We start from the raw sequence: 19,144 nt of genomic DNA, 5'->3' as shown, positions 1-19,144 counted from the left end.
CAGTGAACTGTGCATGTTCCGTGCAATGTCTAATACTAACGAAAAATGCTTTGAGGGCAGATATTACTATTCCTAATTCATAGATAAGGAAACTGATTCAGAGTGAAGTGACTTGCATAAGGTCATAGCTAATAAGTGACAAAGTTTCAAACCTAAACCTGTTGAATCCAAAACCCGGGCTCTTTCTATTGTATCAAGCCCCTGAGGTATTGAAGGAATCAGATTGATTCTTTTTCAGAAGATGGGAGTATTAATAAGTAATTATGTTTTATAACATAAGCACAGAAGATTTTAATCACTGAATTGAATCTCAGGCCAAGTGCTTTGTTTATAATAAACTGCTGTTAAACACCAGTGTTGTTGGAAAGTTACCATGTAAGTATACCTGGGCCCTGCATTAGTATTTTCTAATTCACTCCCTGGTGAATTTTATACCTAGAGAAGAACAGACTACGGGTTTTGCTTAAGGCTAGAGCCTGAGGCAGGAGAGAAGCAAAACTAGATGGTAGTTTAGCCCATGCTACTGTTTTTAGACTGCTACAGTGGTCAGCATTTCCTTGCCAGATGTTATAGGCATATATAAAAGAGGCAGTCCAAGGTTGCTACCTAACAGTTTTTCTAATAGTTTCTTTTGCTATGCTTTCTCTACATCATTTTAAGGAGGAACAACATCAAAGGGAACTCTCTCTACTTCGCAAAAGACTAGAAGAACTGGAAACAACACAAAGAAAACAACTAGAGGAACTTGGATCTTCCGGAGAATGATGTTCTTGGAGAACAGGCAGATCAAAAGAGGTGAAGTTGGTGACTCAGTAAAACTTGACATTTTAACCTGTGGCATTTAGATACTTTTTACTGTTTGCCAAAACACTTGAATGTGCCTCAAGAAAAGGTACCTACTACATGCTGTATTGTATGACTGTCAGGATTTTAAGATTATACAAGTGAAGCATTAAAAGAGAAATTCTCAGAGATATTTAGAATATTTGACAATGGTTTGAGAATGTAAAACAAAAAGGAACTAGTTAGAGTCAAGTTTTAAAATTTTTACTTTGTTGAATTTTTTTTTTTGGCATTTTGAGTGAAATATAACTATCATTAATTCTCTCTTCATCTTTGAGATGCTTGGCCATAACAGGGTCCATACACATCTTCTGGTTTACTATATACAAAAACTGTAGTTGAAAAAAGATGACAATTTAAAAGTCAGCCTAAAGAATGTAAAGGTATCTATATACAAAAGGCTACCTTTTCTAAAATCTGTGTGCACATAATTAAAGAGCTTAATTTTTTTTTAATCGTGTGTTTAATTTTACATCAACCATATAGCATATATTTAGCAATATGACAGTCTACTGATTTTGGCTTTGTTAGAATAGAGAATAAGTGCAAATAATTAAATCCTATGGCTGTATTAACAAGGGGGCCATTGATTATAAAACTTGAACTCAGGTCCTTTTATAAACATTGTTGGTATTTAACTTTACTTCCCATTACTGTGGATCTAACCAAATAATTATGTGTTTTGTGTCCCTAAGTATGCTCTCATTTTTTTTGGTCTACACCCATTGGAAGCCTTTTTAATGTGACATCTTTTAGAGGAATTCTGCTGGAATAATTTCATGTTAACGAGGCTAAAGCTCAAGTCTCCCAAATTAAGTGGAATGTTCATTATCCCAAGGTGTTCATAGTCAAAAGTCCCAGTTGATAGTGAAGAAGGCCAGGACTGTAATTGAGCAGTCCTTAGCACCATTTAGCAAACTAGGTTTACTTACTACATAATATAGCTGCTTATTCACAGCATATACAGTGACACCTTATCTCTGAAAAATAATTTCCACGGAGCCACTTAGAATAAAAAAACTATTATAACTAGAAAATTGAAAAAAAAAAAAGACAGTCCACAGTTACATCAAAATGTTTATTTTTTGGATATAGACATTTAAAACATTCATCTCCAAGAACAGCTTCAATCAGGTATACAATAAGAAATAGACTTTAAATCCTAATACAGAAAAGGTAACAGAATTTTTTTGAATGCTGCTGTAGACACTAGTGTTAGAAAAAAAAGTTTATAAATGGTTTTGCACCAAAAAAATATGCAAAGAAACTTGAAAATAGAAATTGTTTGCCATTTGTTGCTCTGGTTGCTGTTTAATATAGACCCAGTGACTGATTGTCTTCAGCACACATCTAATTTGGCCATTTACTGCATTTGGCTAATGTGATCCAAAATGTGATCTAGATAGTGCTTTTCACTGGAGGATTGACAAACACGCTACATACATTAGTGAATCTTCATACCACCTCAGTGAGGTAGCTTAGAAATATTATACAGAAATTGAGGCACAAAGAGGTAAGTGACTTGCCCAAAGTTCCCAACAGCACAGTCCCTGGAAGAGGAGGTAACTCTCCACACAGGACTCATGTGCCAGAAAGCTGGACAGGGACACCCTCATGTAGCATTTAGTAAATACTTAGATAAAGCTGTAGCTGATCCTTTGAGTTTTCAGTACCCTAAAGTAGTAGGGGAAGTCTTTTGGGCAACTCTCCTACCCTTGGCTCTCAACTTTCCTACTGTTGTTCTCTTATGAACTCCTTCACCTCTTTGAAGACTGTAGCAGCCTTCAATGGGGACCAGACCTCTCACCTTTATTCTGATCTGTCATCTATTTGGTAGTTTTGTTTGTTTGAGGTGTGTCCGTTGGACAGACAATGGTCAAAAGCAACAGGATTGGGAAGGTGCCTATCAGGGTAGTAACTGCTTATTTTCTCTGATCAGTTTGTTGAGGTGTCACCTCTCTCATGCTTTTCCAGATAATACAGAAGCAAAAAGGAATTGCCTTTAAGACAAATTCATATTTAAATCCTAATGCTCCATACAGTGTTGGTAAATGATTTCAAGGAATATGTGATCAATGTTATTTGACTTGAAAAAATTTTCTTTCCTAGATGGGGGATTTGGAGCACCAAGGGTAAAAGGTGCCTGCCACAAGAAAAGCTCAAGAGTTGCCAATTATGCTGTTTACTTCTTCTGGTTTAATAGAAGGAAAACACAGTGGTATTAAAACTGGTCATGAGCAGCAAAAATTCAGGAATTAAAAAATCAGCACTAAAAAGACTACAGTATAACTGGATAGAGAATTCTTTAAAAAGAAAGGCATGAATAAAATGGGTATTTTAAATTCTTTCTCCTGCGAGGAATACTTTCAAAAAGTACATAGTAAGACTAAGATACCAAGTTGTATACTAATATTTTTCAGGCCTTGGGCCTCAAATATATATATTTATATATAATACTCCAGTGTGAACAGCAATTCGATAAAATGTAAAATGTATCTTTTTTTTTTTAAATCACACACAAGTATTCATAACCACAGGGTTCACCAGAAATCTAAAGCAAGGAGACACTCACTCATATAGAAATGGAGTTACTCTTCCACAGATCGTTCTGATCAAAGGTTTTGGAACAGAAATGAATTAATGATTTTTTTGTATAATATCCAACATGTCCACTATCAAATACATTTAGTATGAAAAAACAGATGAAGAAAAGGAACATACATTAGGACAAAGTATCTGGTTAAAATGCTGTTCATTTAAATAAAGCCCACTCTCCTTACTTTAGAGCTCCTTGGTGAAATGGAGGTGAGTTTGATGGAGTGCAGTTGATGACCACTGAAAAACACGAGCCCTTTCAACAATGTTGCAACACTGTTAGTTTTTGGTTTAAACACACACACACACTCACAAATGCTAAGTGTACACTACCAAATTCTGCGGTCAGCTTTTCCAAGAACTACTGGGGAAAGTTTCAATGCTGCAAATCCTCGAGGTTGCCCTAACACCCCCACCTTGTTTCCAAATGACTCATTTCACATTTTGTTTTGAGCACTGGCAGTATCCCTTTACAATGCAGAGGTGCAGTGTAGCACAAGTGCTACATAGCTGTAGTTTTCAAACAAAACCACTTATATCATTGTGCTTAAGTGGAGACTGTAGTTACAATACTGACATTCGCTTACTGGCCTTGTATTCTCTGTAAACAAGGAGGCTGTTTGCAACAACCACTTCAACTCTATTTACAGAAGGGTTCCCACGGTATACACACAGGCACAAGGGTTGGTATGCTTTCTAAAAGCTGTGCATGTGCCTTGGTCTCTTAAAAAGACAGTGCCCAAAGTGGAACCTATGTGCAAACAACAAATTAACGACACAGAGTAGCTCAAGCAGCCATTTTGCTCCCAAGTCGTCTGAAGAACTTTGCCAGATTAAGCCAGGCCCCAGAGTGCTTACATCCACTTGCATTTCTTCTTTTCATCAAATAAGACTTTTACATGCAAGAGTTGTTTCTGAGCTTCTTCCAGCCCTCGTTCTCTTTCTAGTTTATTTAGAATCTGTTGACAATTAGAACAGTTATTTTAGATATTGTGGTTTTAGCGTTACAATTCTGTTTTTTGCATACCTGATGCTGTGAGTGGTAAAATCTGTATGAAACAGATGCCAACATTTTCTTCCATCATTTACATACTCACTTTGCAAGTTGTTTTGCTAAGTCCTTATCACAGGATCAACAATACCTTGGCTTAAAATAGAAGCTCGCAAGAAATACCAACTATTTGCTTACAAATATGGGGCCAGGCTTCCTAGGCCCTGCTTTATGCATTATGTCACAGCCATTCCAAGCACAGCAAGCATTCCTGGGCAGCCAACATGCAGGCAAGTATTTCTCCTTAAATGCAGCAGGCAGGGACATCCTGGTCAGAGACAGATCCTTCCCTTCCCTCCCATCTGGGCAGTGTAGTCCCTCCTCGTGCTTCCCTTCTCTCCCCTGACCCCTGGAACGAGGGATGCTTATCATGTTTAAGAACTCATTGCCTCTACCCTACCTTAGAGCTTCACTTCATCTTCAAGTAGCAAATGGAATTGGTGAGCTATTCTCACCATTGACATGGATAGCCTGTCCCAGCATGATTGGGGGGGAATCAGGGAAGGGGGAGTTAACATTTGTTTGGAAACAAAGCATCTGATGAATGTGTCTGTTTGAATTTCCAAAGAAAAAAACCCAGATTAAGGAGAATTAATCATAAAGGAGAATGGTTTATTGAAATAGTCGCTTAAGTTAGAAATATGTCATAATTTCATATAACGATTGAATACAGAATCTAGGCAATTTAACAAGCTTAGCTTTCATTTTTAGCAAATTACAATCAAGCATAAGCTGACCCCATTTAATAGGGCCACTACTTACTCATCAAAGTTAACTTGAGTCAGGGTGGCTGTAGGCCCCATGAACTCAAATGTAAATTCAGGCTGGTCCAAATGTGGGCAGCATGATAAAACTGTAAGGGGGGCAGCCATGTACAGGGTCTGGCTCAGTGCCAGGATCCCCCATCTCAGACAGGCTTCCTGGCTTCCCTTTCTGGCCTTTTGGGATGCCAGAGCTGTTCTGAAACTGACAGAATGCTATAACCACATCCTTGTGCCTGATTCAAAGGTTAAAAACAATGTTATTTAAAATCTTACCTCATCAAAATATTTTACGATGTATTTGTAAATTTCTGTCAAGGCCACTTCTTCATTAAATTCATTTTCATGTTTCTAAAAGAAAGACTTGTTGAGAGATTCTGAAATGACGTAAAGTAACCAAATATAAGCTTATTTCTGCTTTCTAATGATACCTTAGATTCCTGAGTTAAAAATTCTTCCATTTCTGAGGATGACAATGGAGGCAAATCCCTGATTGCTTTGTAATAAGATTTTACTTCTTCTTTGTAGGTTGGGATATCCTTGGCATAGAGAAGCTTATTAGTTGGTGCTTCCTGGGGAAAAAAAAAAAAAAAAAGCAACCATCACCAAAAGAGTAAAAAAAAAAAAAAAAAAAGATGGAGGAATTTATAATATTCCAATGTAGCTGAACCCCCACCACCAACCAGTTTTACCTCTTGCTAACAAGGCTTCATGCAGTAGGCCTTAAATGTTGTTGACTGAATGACTGACTGCTATCTAGATAGTTCTGGTGAGTCACTGTTATTTTCAGGCAGATTAAATGCTAATATATTCTGCCTTCCTCTCATAAAAGAACTAAAATTATTATTTTTGCATGATTTTGAGTTACTGTAACAATGGAACTTATTTCAATCATAGTTCATTACTAATGGTTGTAAAAAGCCTGAATTAAAACATTTGCTCTCATCCTCACCCACCAGTGAATTTGGCATTTACAAAAGACTTGATTGTAGGTCTGATTGAGCCCTTTATATAACCATGAAACTGGTAAGTAATTGGCAGAGGCAGATTTTCCAGCTTGTCCCTTTTATTTCATTAGATTATAGACATCATCCAGTTTCTTCAGGGAAGCACATGGTCATTAGTATTGGTGGCTCTGATGTGTGATTTTGCAGAGGTTCTCTGGCAATTTGAATGATTCTACGTAATTATAACAGTGATATTTAAAAATTAAATATGATTTTATTTTTAAAAATCATTATTTTTCACAAAACTTTAAAAAATTCTACTCAGGGAAGATAGGTAAGTTAATGATAGGGCTAATGTCCCAGCCCATGAGGCTGAATCAATGGCTTGATGAATCATTCTGAAGGATGCCTAGAGACTGAGATATTATTGAGATTTTCTCATTTGTCAAATTTAAGTGGAACCCAGAAATCATGCTATCATTCATTCATTCAATAAACATTATTAAGCACTGGAGCAGGCATTGAGAGTACAATGATAAAGACTAGTGGCTGCCCTTGAGAAGCTTACAATCTAGTTGCAAAGACAGATTTATGAAGTGCTTACTATGATACAAATAATTAGCAGCAGTAGTTGACAGAAAGAGTTGGACAAATCAGAAATCATAATTCTGCTACTTTGTGTGGTTTCAGGCAAGACTTGTAACCTCCCAGAACATCAATTTTCTCATCTATAAAATGAGGGTAATAATAACTACCTTATTTGGTACTTGTGAGGATTAAGTGAAGTGTGTCAAGAACATAATTCATAAACAACTGTTTTTAGTGTGAACAAACATTTAAGTGCCTTTCAGTGTGCTGCATGCTAAGATGAACTTTATTAGTCAAATGAAGAAAGTGCTGTAGGAAATATATTGGGGAAAGTTCACAAAGTAGGCATATGTAGACTGATCTGAGTCTCCTACAGTTTCTGGTCCTCATTAGGAAATCATATTTGTCGAATGAATAAAATGTTTATGATGAATGAATGGGTAGGATTTTACTAGACAGAGGGACTGTGAGACAGGAAAGATGAGCAAAGGGGTGTGAGAACAAGTTCATGGTGTGAACTTGGGAAAAGTAAAAGCTGTAGCACAGTGGGTATGTGGGGCGTGCAAGAAAATAACGAGGCCAGCAAAGAGGGCTGAAGCCCATCAGGAAGCACTATGTGGCACTGTGAAGACTTTAGCTGGTAGGTAATGGGAAATAGTTGCAATTTTTAAGAAGCAGACTGACATCATCAGATTTATGTTTTAGAAAGATTACCTGAGAGACAGTGAAAAGGAAAAGTTTAGAAGGAAAGGTGGACAGCAGGGGCAAGGACACCAATTAGGAAGCAGTTATCCCAGTAGGGACGGGATGAAGGGATAAGGCTAAGTGATAAGGCTAAGGAAGGAGGAGGGAGCGACAGACATTTGAGACAGAAGTAAGTGGTAACCAATAATTTGGGGATAGAGGTTGGAAGGAAGAGGAGTCAAAGATAACGTTGAGGATTCTACCTTGAGAGACTAGGCAATGCTAGGGAAGACAAAAGTAAAAACAGGTTTGTTTTGCAGAAATACTGCTGATAAAGAGTTTAGATTATGACTGGGAGTCTGAGGCACCTGTGGAACATCAGTCTCCATTCATTCCAGGTACTCTTAAAGTCCTGCCCAAGAACTCCTCCTCAGTGTTCAAAGATCCATTAGGCACAGATATTGCTCAGTTTAGTATATTTTGGAGCGCTCAAATAAGACCAAAACATCTCTTTCGAAGTTTGCTCTGATTTTTGTCTTTCTTTGAGTTCTTGGGACTATTGATCAGCAAAGAAAACCATAGGAAAACAGTACTCATGCTTTGATTAGAAACTGACAAACTGGTATTGTTAGAAATCTTGAGCAAGATTTTGTGTCCCATAAGCAATGTGTTATATTCAAATAGGCATTTTATGTATATTCAAATAGAATTGATTTAGGCAAATTTCAATGGTTGCATATTTTGGGTTAATAGTTTATCAGTGTCCATAGAATATTTTTCTAGGAAACAAAACGCATACTTTGTGATAAAGTTTTTCACAGGCAGAATTCTGCAGTTGGGTGGGGCTAATTATTTTGTTTTTCACTTTAAAAAAATTAGATTAAAAATAATGAGACAGATTTTAAATAACAGCAAATTGACAGTGGCCCTTGCTATCTCTTTTTAGCTGGTGTAGTTTAGACCAATTGTTTATTATTTGAATGCTTATCAGAAAGACAAGTATGTCAAACTCATAAGACTGCATACAAGAAATACTCAAGCTGGGCCTTACCTTCCCTAGTTGCTGCTCTGTGAGAGAAAATGCATCCATGAATGCCTGGGCAATCACTGACAAACAGCCGTCTATATGTGGTGTCTTCTTAATGTCAAAGACAAACTGAGGGTTCTTCAGGATGTTTACCCAGAAGCGAAGAGGAAGGCTGTTCAAAGAGAGAATAATCTCTTTTCAAATAGGGCCATTCATGAAGCCAATGGTCTGTTTATCACAGTTTGTAAACGGGTGTTTTTGTCCTTGTTATTGAAGTATACAACTCTGCTTAGCCAAACATACCAAGCAACAGACAGAAGCGTCACTTGGAGAGAAGAAGAAAGGGTTAACTGGCAGAGCTACTGTAAAAGAAGGATAGAGGAGGGTAAGTTTGAAAGTGGCCATGGGCAAGAATTTTCTCCAGATAGCTCTTGATTATAATCTCTCTCACCTGGATTATTTCCCATCTCCTGACAGTTTGTTCTCACATAACTATCAGCAGTCCTCTCAACACAGAATCAGACCATGTCTCTCCTCTGCTCCAACCCTCTGAGGCTCTCCATCTCCCTCTGGATAACACCCTGCATGACCTGGCCCTCCTATCCCACTGCTCCTCACCGCGCTCATTCCAACTCTCCTGTTCTCCTTGCTATTTTTCATATGGGCCAAGCAAGCACGTGCCTCACAACTTGTGCTCTTGGCGTCTGTCTGCCTGAAACTTTCTTGCCTCAGGTAGTCTCATGGTTTATGCCCTCTCCTCTTTCAAGACTTGGTTCAAGTGTCACCATCTCTGTGAGGCCTTCTCAGATCACCTAGTCCTGACACATACTAGCCTCCTTTCCTACTTTCTCCACTGCACTCATCATCTGCTAATGTGCTACTGTTTGCATATTGCATTTAGTGTCTGTCCCCAACTATTAGAATGGGACCTGGACTTTCATCTGTTTTGTTACTATATCTCCAGCAACTAACTGCTTGGCCCATAGTAGGTACTCAAATACCCGAACATGAACTTGGGACTGGTTCAAAGTCCTTCCATTATCTCCTTTTCAACTCTGGCCTAGCTCATTACCTCCCCCATATGCTGCTAGGTCTCCCAACAGCTCTACTGTCCTGGCTGCTGCCCCTGCTCAGATGCCATAATCTTCAAGGTGGAATGGTGGCCCTCAGCTCCCAGTCTTGATGTGGGAGTGGCAGGGACTGGAGATAAGAGGCTAGAACAGGCCAGGGGCAGTGGCTCACACCTGTAATCTCACTACTTTGGTAGGCTGAAGCAGGAGGATGGCTTGAGTCCAGGAGTTTGAGACCAGCCTGGGCAGTGTAGTGAGACCTCATCTCACAAAAAGTTTTAAAAGTTAGCTGAGTGCGGTGGCATGCTCGTGTAATTCCAGCTACTTGGGAAGCTGAGGTGGGAGAATTGCTTGAGCCCAGTAGGCAGAGGTTGCAGTGAACCGAGATCCCACCACTGCACTGCAGCCTGGGCAACAAGAGTGAGACCCTGTCTCAAAAAAAAAGAGGCTAGAACACAGGAAGAGAAGGGAGCAAGCCAGCGTAGAGAATTGGGATAGGCCTGGATTAAATGGGAGATTAGACCTAGAGGAACTTCAGCTTTTGATACTCATTTAAAGTGACCTGGCTGCCCTCAGTGCCTGGAAAGCCTTGAGCTTGCACTGAGAAGTTCTACTTCATCATAACTCTGAGTCTTATCCAGCCCATGCACACAGCATTTCAAAGAGAGCTCATGAGCTACATTTCTTTACTGAGGAGGCAAAATTTGGATGCCTTGCCTGTCCTTAAGGTAAAATATTAAAATATAAAACAAAACACAAACTTTTGGCTAATTCTCATAGTATCTGAGTACTGCACTTGATAAATTTCTGTACAGAATCAGAGTATAGACAGCTTGGAGACTGCAAAGTAACCGATTAGGAACAAAAAATGGTTTATCATAAAATTTTCTCTAATGCAAAAATGATATAAAACCACAAATGTTAATTTCTCATTCTTTACTGGTCAACTTAAATTTCTTTTAACATTCTAGACAAAGTATCATGCACCAAAGATAACAGTTTATCTTCAAGAACAGGATTCTTGGCATAGGAATGGTTTCCTTTATTGTTTAAAAATAGTAACAGAATAAGAAACTACTTTGACATGATAGCTTACCAAGCCCAAAGATTCTGATATAGAGATAAATGAATCCTTCTATAACTATCTATGTCTTTCTTTTAGTTAATATTCTGTCCCAGATTCTTGAAAACAGTCACTAATCACCTACATTCCCACCTGTTTGTTTTCCAAATATGTACGACGTCAGGATCTGTGATTTTTTTGTTTTCAGCCTGGGCGTCCAAAAAGTCAAAAAAGTATTTTATAGCAAATGGAGCTCTGCTGTTGGGTAAACTCCAAATGCTTCTAAAAAGTTTTTCAAGCACAGAATGAATTGCCACCTGAAAGATAGACAACATCAGATTTGGGAGATTAAAAACTGTGGTAGTGGTTTTGAAAACATAATAGCAAAAGCAAATCCACATTCAGAGAAAATAATGTTCAAAACAGGGAAAAACAAACTGAAGAGAAAAATGTAAAATTGTCAAATGTGGCCAGTGCTCACAGTATAGGTCAAAAGTCTTGAAAATCCATGCCCAGGTTTAGATTTGGTTCATAAGCTTCTTGCTGATAACATTGTTTAGTCAACTGGGAGGATATCAGAAATCTCTAGCAGTTGAAATGTCAGTTGTAGGGCTGTTTACATAAACCAGGAAGCCATGGATATTTGGCTTTTATTAGTTATGTTCAGCCTGGAAAAGCTCAAGTGATGCTGCTCTGTTCCCAGAATTTTTCCTGTTGCATATATTTCTATCATAAAGTTTTATTGTGTACTTTCCAAAGCATTTGAGTATTTCACAAAAGCCAAATAGGCTGGGCTCTATGGGACAGCTGAGAAAATCAAGAGGCTTGGGCTGTCCTCTGCCCACTAAACAAATCTCCTAAGCTCTAAGCAGATTCTTTGTTATAATCTGAAGAAGCATGCCCATCAAGTTCCTGGGGCCAAGTGTAGATCATAGCATTTATAGTGCTCATCATTCCAGAGGGGGAGGAAAAAAAAGATCACCACAGACTTCTGTTAATTCCACTAAAAGCCAGATAAAGTAAAATTTGCTCTCGGTTTGGTATTCCACCGGCTTTCACATCTGACACTTTTATGTGTGAGCAGAATTCTTAATTTTAAAATGAAAAACAAAAATTAAGATTTACTAGGTTTATAGTCATTGACCCTTCCCATCCCCTTCATTTTATTCGCAATTCAAAAAGGGAGTTTTATTGCTCATCTATAATAACAAGTAAACCAAAAGGAATAATTATGCTGTCAACCTAAAAAATAACAATAATAGTGAAATGGTGGAGAAAGAGACTGGGAACAATATTAAATCCCTGACTGAAGATACTACAGTACAAATCTGTAAAGTGCTGTTATCTTTGTAGTGTATAAAAAGAAGAGGAACTGGGTAGGAAGTGTTTACAATTTAAACTTTCATTTTGCTTTGCTAGAAGGCACAAGGGATTTGTAACATTTTCACACTTCAGTGGAAATTAAGTCAAACATATCATACACCCCCTAGGTAGCCATAAAGTGCTCCCAGAACAGTAAGTGTACCTTGGTCGACAGCAGCTTTGTCAGATACATTTCTTTTACTTTGAACTTGTGCTTCCCTCGATGTCTCTTTCCTTGCACATCTTGGAATGCTTCCGAATCTGGTAAAATCTGAAGGGAAGACAGCAGAAGCGTTACCCAAGGAGACCACTCTTGCTACAGAAGGCATGCAGTTCAGTGGTGAGCACAAGAAAGCCTGAACTCACCAAATGGCAGTGGTCATCCGAGTACTCCACATCTGAATGCCAGAGAAAGAGGGAGAGAAAGCAGTCCATTAAAAAAAGCAACCATGGGCTAATCGGCCTTCTCTTAAAAGGCCCCATTTGTGCTGTATACTGAAGTTACTTGAGCTTTTTGACTTGAGCTCTCCATAGCTACATTTTTCCCCCTGCTGCATCTTAAGATCTTAAGAACAGCGTGAAGATGGGACGGGTGAGGGATTGGAGGAGGAAGTAGATTCCCTAGTGATCTCTGATCTCTTGCTGGTAGGAGAGGCTCAAGCCTCATTCATTTAACAAATGTACCTAGAACACCTCCTATGTGCCAGGGACTACTGGGCATATAGCAATGAATAAGACCCAGTTCCCACCCTGATGGAATTTGCATTCTGGCCAATGAGAGACATCAAACTTCTAGGTACACAATTATTATAACTGTGATAAAGGTTATGAAGGAGAATTATATGCTAAAGAATTAACAAGAGACCAAATCTAGTCCAGGAGTTTTTGAGGAAGGGATGCTTGAGCTGAATCTAATGAAGAGATAGAGTCAGCTAGGCAAATTGCAGGAAGGTCCAAAGGTAGGAAGGAGCTGACCCTTTCTAGGATCTCAAAGGACAATGAGGTGGTGCTCACAGAGCAAGTCAAGAGTAGCGCAGAGTGAGGAAATGTGGCTGTAAAGGGTAAGGGAGTGGTAAATGGAGGGAAGAGAGGAAGTAAGGCATTTGGTTTGTTTGTTTTAAAGTTGAGAGAGGCTCAGTGGCTCACATCTGTAATCCCAGCACTTTGGGAAGCCAAGGCAGGAGGACTGCCTGAGTCCAGATTTCAAGACCAGCCTGGACAATGTAGCGAGACCTCATTTCTACAAAAAATTTTAAAGAGTATCTGAGCATGGTAGCACACTCCTGTAATCCCAGCTACTTGGGAGGCTGAGGTGGGAGGATCATTTGAGCCCAGCAGGTTGAGGCTTCAGTGAGCCATGATTGTACCACTGCACTACAGCCTGGGTGACAGCGAGACACTGTCTTAAAAATAAAGATGAGAGAGACGAGCACATCTTGAAATGCTAATGGAAAATGGGGAGTAGATGGAGAGGAAAAGAAAGTACAGGTGAGAAAAGAGATTACTGGTGGTGTAAGGATACCAAGAAGGTTGGAAAGGATGGTGGACCCAAAGCACAGGTGAGAGACTGGCCTTGAATGGAAGAAGGTCAGCCTACAAGCATCAAGGAAGAAGGCAGGTGCAGGTAGGTTGGTAGGTTTGCTACTGGCTGTTGAAGGACTTCTGATTAGTTTTCTCTGTAAAGAGTGCAGGGTGAAGTCATCTGCTGAGAGGAGAGCTGTGTGGGTCAAAGCTTTGAGGAGAGAAGGCAGACATTATGGACAACACAGAGTTGAATTGCCCAGAGGAACCCAATGAGAGCAGGCTGTGTGGAGGGCCCTGGTCAAGTTGGGTACCATGAACTTATAGTGACCCACTGTGTGCCATTATGTGCCTTTCTTCTGTGGCTCCCTAGCTGTAGGGTCAGGAAAGGATAATCGTTGGGTTCATCCAGCGTTGGGATTTTGACAGAGGGGCTGATGATAGGACAGAGGTACAGGAGGTTTAGAGTATTAGCAGGGTGTAAGACGGTGGCTCTCAGTTGCAGTGAATGGAAACTAGCAGCAGTGTTGACTGACTGGAGGGCCCACGAAGAGATCCAAACCTAAGATTCTACTATTCAATCCCCAAATAATAGGCTCTTCAAAAGGCCCAATCTTTGAAACCTAAAAACCATGCTCTTCCACTTTTCAACACAAAGACACCATCCCCCTTAAGCTGGAATGATCTCTGCAAGATGGCTTCACCACAGCCCCATATAGTGATGGAAGGTGGGTTTCCCCAAAGGAGTCCTACCCAATTATCCTGTCTGTATAATCAAGAACCCCACATTCCCTGTTTGCACTGGCCAGATGCTCCCTGCTCCTTCTAATAGTGAATCCAGAAGTCAGGAAGCCCTACCTCTGGCTGTGTGTGTGAAAGGAGCCTGTTTGGGAGGAGCTCAGAACCTTTCCAAGGGCTGAGAGCTGATTGTCTTGACTGGGGTATAATTTCTCTGGAGACAAACCTGGAACAGGAATTTCCTGCCCCAGGGCTATCAGGGAAGCAGAAGATCACTTTAGAGACCAGCCTATTGACTTTCCCATAAAAGTTCCCCCTTTAGTTTGTCTCTCTCCAATTTCTGGGAATTTTGCAAGTGCTATCACAGGAGACTTGGACCTTCTAAGTGGATTATCTTGTTTGTTCAGCGCTTGCTTCGGGGCTCTGTGATGATTGTCTGTACTCTTCCCTCTCAGTTTGCCAGGGGGATCTCCTCTGTTAGGCCCCATCCTTCTAAAGGGTTGAAAAAAAGCTATGAGATTCTGCCCTGAGTTTAGGGCTATAAAGAGGCAGCCACTTCCTCAGTGCTGGGCAGTCCAGGCCAACCACCATCTATAGTTTCCTTTCCTTCTTGCAGGGATCACATTCTTAGGACTGCAAAGAGATCAAAATGACTTTTCTCAACTTTCAGAGAATTACATAGCAACAACTCAATCTCACCTTTGTGACAATACAGCTGAGAGAGGCAAAAAGCAATACTTTATGAAGCTGGGTGAGAACAAAAGGTTAACAATATTATATTGGTTACCTGAAGTAAAATTTGCTATCTTCTTAAAGACTTTTATAGTGGATCCATTTGATATCTGAAACCAAAGATAAAAGATATATGAGTGTTCAAAATTTAATGGATTTCTCAACTTCACCCAGGAATTAGATGGCTGGATGGATCTTACATGCTGTCACTTATTAAATCAAATATTTATCAAGAATTACTATGTTCTGGGCACTGTGCTGGAGGCTGGGACTAAATGACAAGCAAGGCAGTGTCTCTGTCCTCAAGGGGCTCATGGTCCTGTGGAGGAGGCTGATGAGGCCATGGGAGGCAGTGGGGTAGTACGCAGAAGGTGGAGGCCAGGACCCTGTGGGACAGATGGGAGGTGGGAAGCCCTGGAAGAGGGGAAGACTGAGCTGTGTTAGGACATTCCCCCCAATTCGCAGAGGTCAGGCAAGACCTAGGCCAGTTTCATTTTTTGAGGTTAAAAAATTGTTACTTGCTATGGACTGAATGTTTGTGTCTCCTCCAGATTCCTATGTTTAAATCCTAATCCCAGTGTGATGGTATTAGGAGGTAGGGCCTTTGGGAGGTGACTAAGTCATGAGGTTGGAGCCCTCATGATGGGAATAGTGCCCTTATAAGAAGAGACACCAGGGCTGGGCGTGGTGCCTCACTCCTGCGATCCCAGCACTTTGGGAGGAAGAAGAGGAGGATCCTTGAGTCCAGGAGTTTTGAGACCAGCCTGGGCAACATAGGGAGATCCCTCTGTATAAAAAAAATTTTTTTAATTATCTGGGCGCATTGGTGCACACCTGTAGTCCCAGCTACCTGGGAGGCTGAGGTGAGAGGATCACTTGAGCCCAGACATCCAAGGCTGCAGTGAGCCCTGACTGTGCCACTCTACTCCAGCCTGGGCGACAGAGTGAGACCTTGTCTCTAAACAGAGGAGGAAAAGGAAGAGACAGCAGAGCTTGCTGGTCCCCTCTGCTTTCCACTACACAAGGATACAAGAAGACGGCTCTCAGCAAACCAGGAGGAGGGTCCTCACCGAGCTACTAGTACTTTGCCCAGACAGTGAACTTCCAGTCTCTGGAACTATAAGGAACAAATGTTTAAGCCACCCAGTCAATGGTATTCTGTTATAGCAGCCCGAACTGACTATGACACTACTCTATTAAGAAATGCTGAAATGGGTTTTCAGAAATTGTGGTATATAAAGTTGGTATCTACCCTATGACAGAGCCATTTCACATGTAGGTCCTTAGTCCACAGAAATAAGTATAAATCCTGATAGGGAGCGATTTGTAATTGTCCCATACTGGAAACAACTCAAACATCCATCATCAGAATGAATAATTTGGGGCATATTTATACAACAGTTTATAAAACAATGAAAATGAGCAAACTACTGTTACACGCCACATGGGTAAATCTTACAATCATAATGTTGAGCAGAAGAAGCTCGACAGAAAAGAAAGTATACTGACTGATTCCATTTACATAGAGCTTGAAAAAAGAAAAAGCCCAAACAGTCAAAACTATCATGTTAGATATTTGGAGAAGAGAGCAGCGGTAGTGATTAGGAAAGGCCAGGAGAGGGCTTCTATTTTTTGACATGGGTGGTAGTTTCAGGATATGCTCACTTGATGATAATTCATCCAGCAGTACGCTTATAATTTATTTGTTTTTCTGTAGGTATATACAGGTTGAGCATCCCTAATCCGAAAATTCAAAATGCTCCAAAATCTGAAACGTTGTGGGTGCTAACGTGGTGCCACAAGTGGAAAATTCGGCACCTGAACTCATGATAGCATGAGTGACAGTCAAAACCCAATAAAAACTTTGATTTGTGCACAAATTATATAAAATTACCTTCAGGCTCTGTGTACAAGGTGTATATGAAACATAAATAAATTCTGTGTTTAAACATGGGTCCTGTCACTAAAATATTTCATTATGTGTATGCAAATATTCTAGAATCCAAGCAAATTCCAAAATCTGAAATACTTGTGGTTCCAAGCATTTTGGATAAGGGATATTCAACCTGTGACATTTTTTCAAAAGCTTGTAAAATCACAAAATTTGCATATACTTTTTAATAAAAGCTTTGAAATGTAAGCATAATGTGGGACATGCTTAACTTTTGCTAATATTAAGTGTGCAGCTCAATGACTATTCACATTAAATATATACTGGCATAACCACCACCTTTATCAAGATATAAAATATTGCAAGGTCCTGAAAAGTGCTCCCATTGTCCCTTCCGAGACAATGACCACCCCATCTTCATCCAGAGGTAATTACTTTTCTGTCTTCCATCACCATTTATGAATTTTGCCTGTTCTTGGGTATCATATAAATAGAATCATACAGTATGTACTGTGTCTAGATTTTGAGGGTCAGTATAAGGTCTGTGACATGTATTCATGTTGCAACTACAAGTAGTTCATTATTACTATGTGTTAGTTCATGTAGTATGAATATACTACCAAAAATTGCCATACAATAAAAGGAAAGAATTACCGATACATGCTACAGCATGGATGAACTGCAAAAACACGCGAAGAAGCCAGTCACAAAAGACCACATATTGTATGGTCCTATTGATATGAAGTGTCTATAAAGATGGGAGCAGTAGACATGAGGGACTCCAAAAGCGGGGATGGGTCTGGGGCAAGGGCTGAAAAAGTTCCTGTTGGGTACTACGTTCACTGGGTGATGGGATCAATAGAAGCCCACACCTCAGCATCATGCAGTATACCCTTGTAGCAAACCTGCACATGTACCCACGAATCTAAAAAGAATATACGAAATGTCCAAAATGGGCAAATTTATATAGACAGATCGTAGATTACTAGTTGGCTAAAGCAGGGCTGGGGGAAATAAGGAGTGACTGTTAATGAATTCAAGGTTTCTTCGGGAGGGATGAAAATGTTCTAAAATTAGATTGTGGCAATGGTTGCTCAATTCTATAAGTATACCTAAAACCACTGTATTGTATACTTTAAACGAATTAGCTTTATGGTAATATGAATTATATTTTGGCTGGACACAGTGGTTCATGACTGTAATCCCAGCTCTTTGGGAAGCCAAGGCAGTAGGATTGCTTGATCCTAGGAGTTCAAGACCAGCCCGGAGAACTCAGATCCCCATCTCTCCTCAAAACAAACAAACAAACAAAAAAGCGCTGAGCATTGTGGCACACGCCTGTAGTCCCAGCTGAGGCAGGAGGATGGCTTGAGCGTGGGAGGTCAAGGGTGCAGTGAGCCACGATTGTGCCACTGCACTCCAGCCTGGGCAACAGAGCAAGACCCTGTCTCAAAAATTATGCTTCAATAGAACTGATAAGAATTGCCACAGATTTTAAATGTATACATTTGACAAAGGCAGGCCTCTGTATATATTGCCTCTTTTGGAGTTAAAATCAAGCGTTCTCACCTAAGACCTTTTGGTACCATGGAAACCAGGGTCAAGTGGCCCTACAGTGCCCCTCCCCCACACCCTGATGGGCACTCGCAAATCCCCAAGCAAGGAAGTGCCCTTCGGGCAAAGGGGGACAAAGATGCCAAGATGCTGGGGGCAGGCCTGGCTCTGTGGGAGGAGGGGCTCATTCACAAAATTACAAGACAAACGGGTGGCAAGAAGGAGGCAGGTCAGAGATCCACAAATCTCCTTCATTCTGGAACTGTTTCTGGAGGACTGACCCTGTCACTTCTGAACCTTATCAGCTAAGTGACTTTTCCCTCCATTCTGAAGCTCCAAAGCTATTCTCAATTCTAATATTAATTTGGACCTTGCCTTCCCAGTTTGGAAAGAGTGGAAACCTAGAATTTCTCTTCTGGCCTGCTGCACATTGGTTATCAGAATGTACTAGCCCACCTAGCAAGCACCAAAGGATTAAAACCTAATCTCCTTCAGGTTACACCCACAGGGAGGAACACAGAGCAAGAGCCAGCCCTCAAGAGGTCCTCAAACACAGCTGTCCAGCCAGCCGCTAAGTTTAGGCCAGAGGCCTCCAACTGCTGGTGTGCATGATATCTTGGTGGTGGGGTGGGGGCAGCACTGGGCAGGGGCCGGCTGGGGCCATCAGGCCTCTGCAAAGTGACTCCAGCAGGGATTCTTAACTCTTACTGAGCTCTT

General features: G+C 40.4%; 2 protein-coding genes across 31 annotated transcripts in view, besides 2 other annotated features; one reads left to right on the top strand and one right to left on the bottom strand.

Annotated features, from left to right (window-relative positions):
- CEP83 (centrosomal protein 83) overlaps positions 1–19,144 on the top strand; it is a 194,793-nt gene that overhangs the window by 150,877 nt on the left and 24,772 nt on the right. For 10 of the 27 annotated variants that reach the window (NM_001346459.2, NM_001042399.2, NM_001346458.2 and 7 more), the window contains one exon: positions 661–1,880. In NM_001346459.2, the coding sequence (NP_001333388.1) occupies positions 661–765 (105 nt within the window). In that variant the 3' untranslated portion in view covers positions 766–1,880. Of the gene's footprint in view, positions 1–660; positions 1,881–2,952; positions 3,186–19,144 lie in introns of those variants that run through there. The other 17 variants (XR_007063082.1, XR_007063081.1, XR_007063083.1 and 14 more) reach the window with 3 other exon arrangements.
- The window catches only part of PLXNC1 (plexin C1), a 159,099-nt gene continuing 141,857 nt past the window's right edge, over positions 1,903–19,144 (bottom strand). For 3 of the 4 annotated variants that reach the window (NR_037687.2, NM_005761.3, XM_006719186.5), the window contains 8 exons: positions 15,038–15,092; positions 12,358–12,389; positions 12,155–12,262; positions 10,783–10,946; positions 8,521–8,668; positions 5,682–5,822; positions 5,527–5,601; positions 1,903–4,397 (listed from right to left, as the gene is read on the bottom strand). Coding sequence is in view for 3 of the 4 variants with exons in the window: in NM_005761.3 (NP_005752.1) it covers positions 4,293–4,397; positions 5,527–5,601; positions 5,682–5,822; positions 8,521–8,668; positions 10,783–10,946; positions 12,155–12,262; positions 12,358–12,389; positions 15,038–15,092 (828 nt within the window). In the remaining variant the exon portion in view is untranslated. Of the gene's footprint in view, positions 4,398–5,526; positions 5,602–5,681; positions 5,823–8,520; positions 8,669–10,782; positions 10,947–12,154; positions 12,263–12,357; positions 12,390–15,037; positions 15,093–19,144 lie in introns of those variants that run through there. The other variant, XM_047428050.1, reaches the window with a different exon arrangement.
- Positions 3,651–3,750: a silencer, noted in NCBI's record as "silent region_4727". NCBI's record gives its function as "represses an Ori minimal core promoter by ATAC-STARR-seq in GM12878 lymphoblastoid cells {active_cell/tissue: GM12878}" and the evidence as "EXISTENCE:reporter gene assay evidence [ECO:0000049][PMID:35858748]".
- Positions 4,365–5,244: an enhancer, noted in NCBI's record as "OCT4-NANOG-H3K27ac-H3K4me1 hESC enhancer chr12:94698110-94698989 (GRCh37/hg19 assembly coordinates)". NCBI's record gives its function as "activates a minimal SCP1, AML or CMV promoter by ChIP-STARR-seq in naive H9 embryonic stem cells {active_cell/tissue: H9 hESC(naive)}" and the evidence as "EXISTENCE:reporter gene assay evidence [ECO:0000049][PMID:30033119]".

The sequence above is a fragment of the Homo sapiens genome, chromosome 12 (assembly GCF_000001405.40).
Source record: "Homo sapiens chromosome 12, GRCh38.p14 Primary Assembly".
Lineage (NCBI taxonomy): Eukaryota > Metazoa > Chordata > Mammalia > Primates > Hominidae > Homo > Homo sapiens.
The sequence above is the reverse complement of the archived record's forward strand: the minus strand, read 5'-3'. Positions and strand labels throughout refer to the sequence as shown.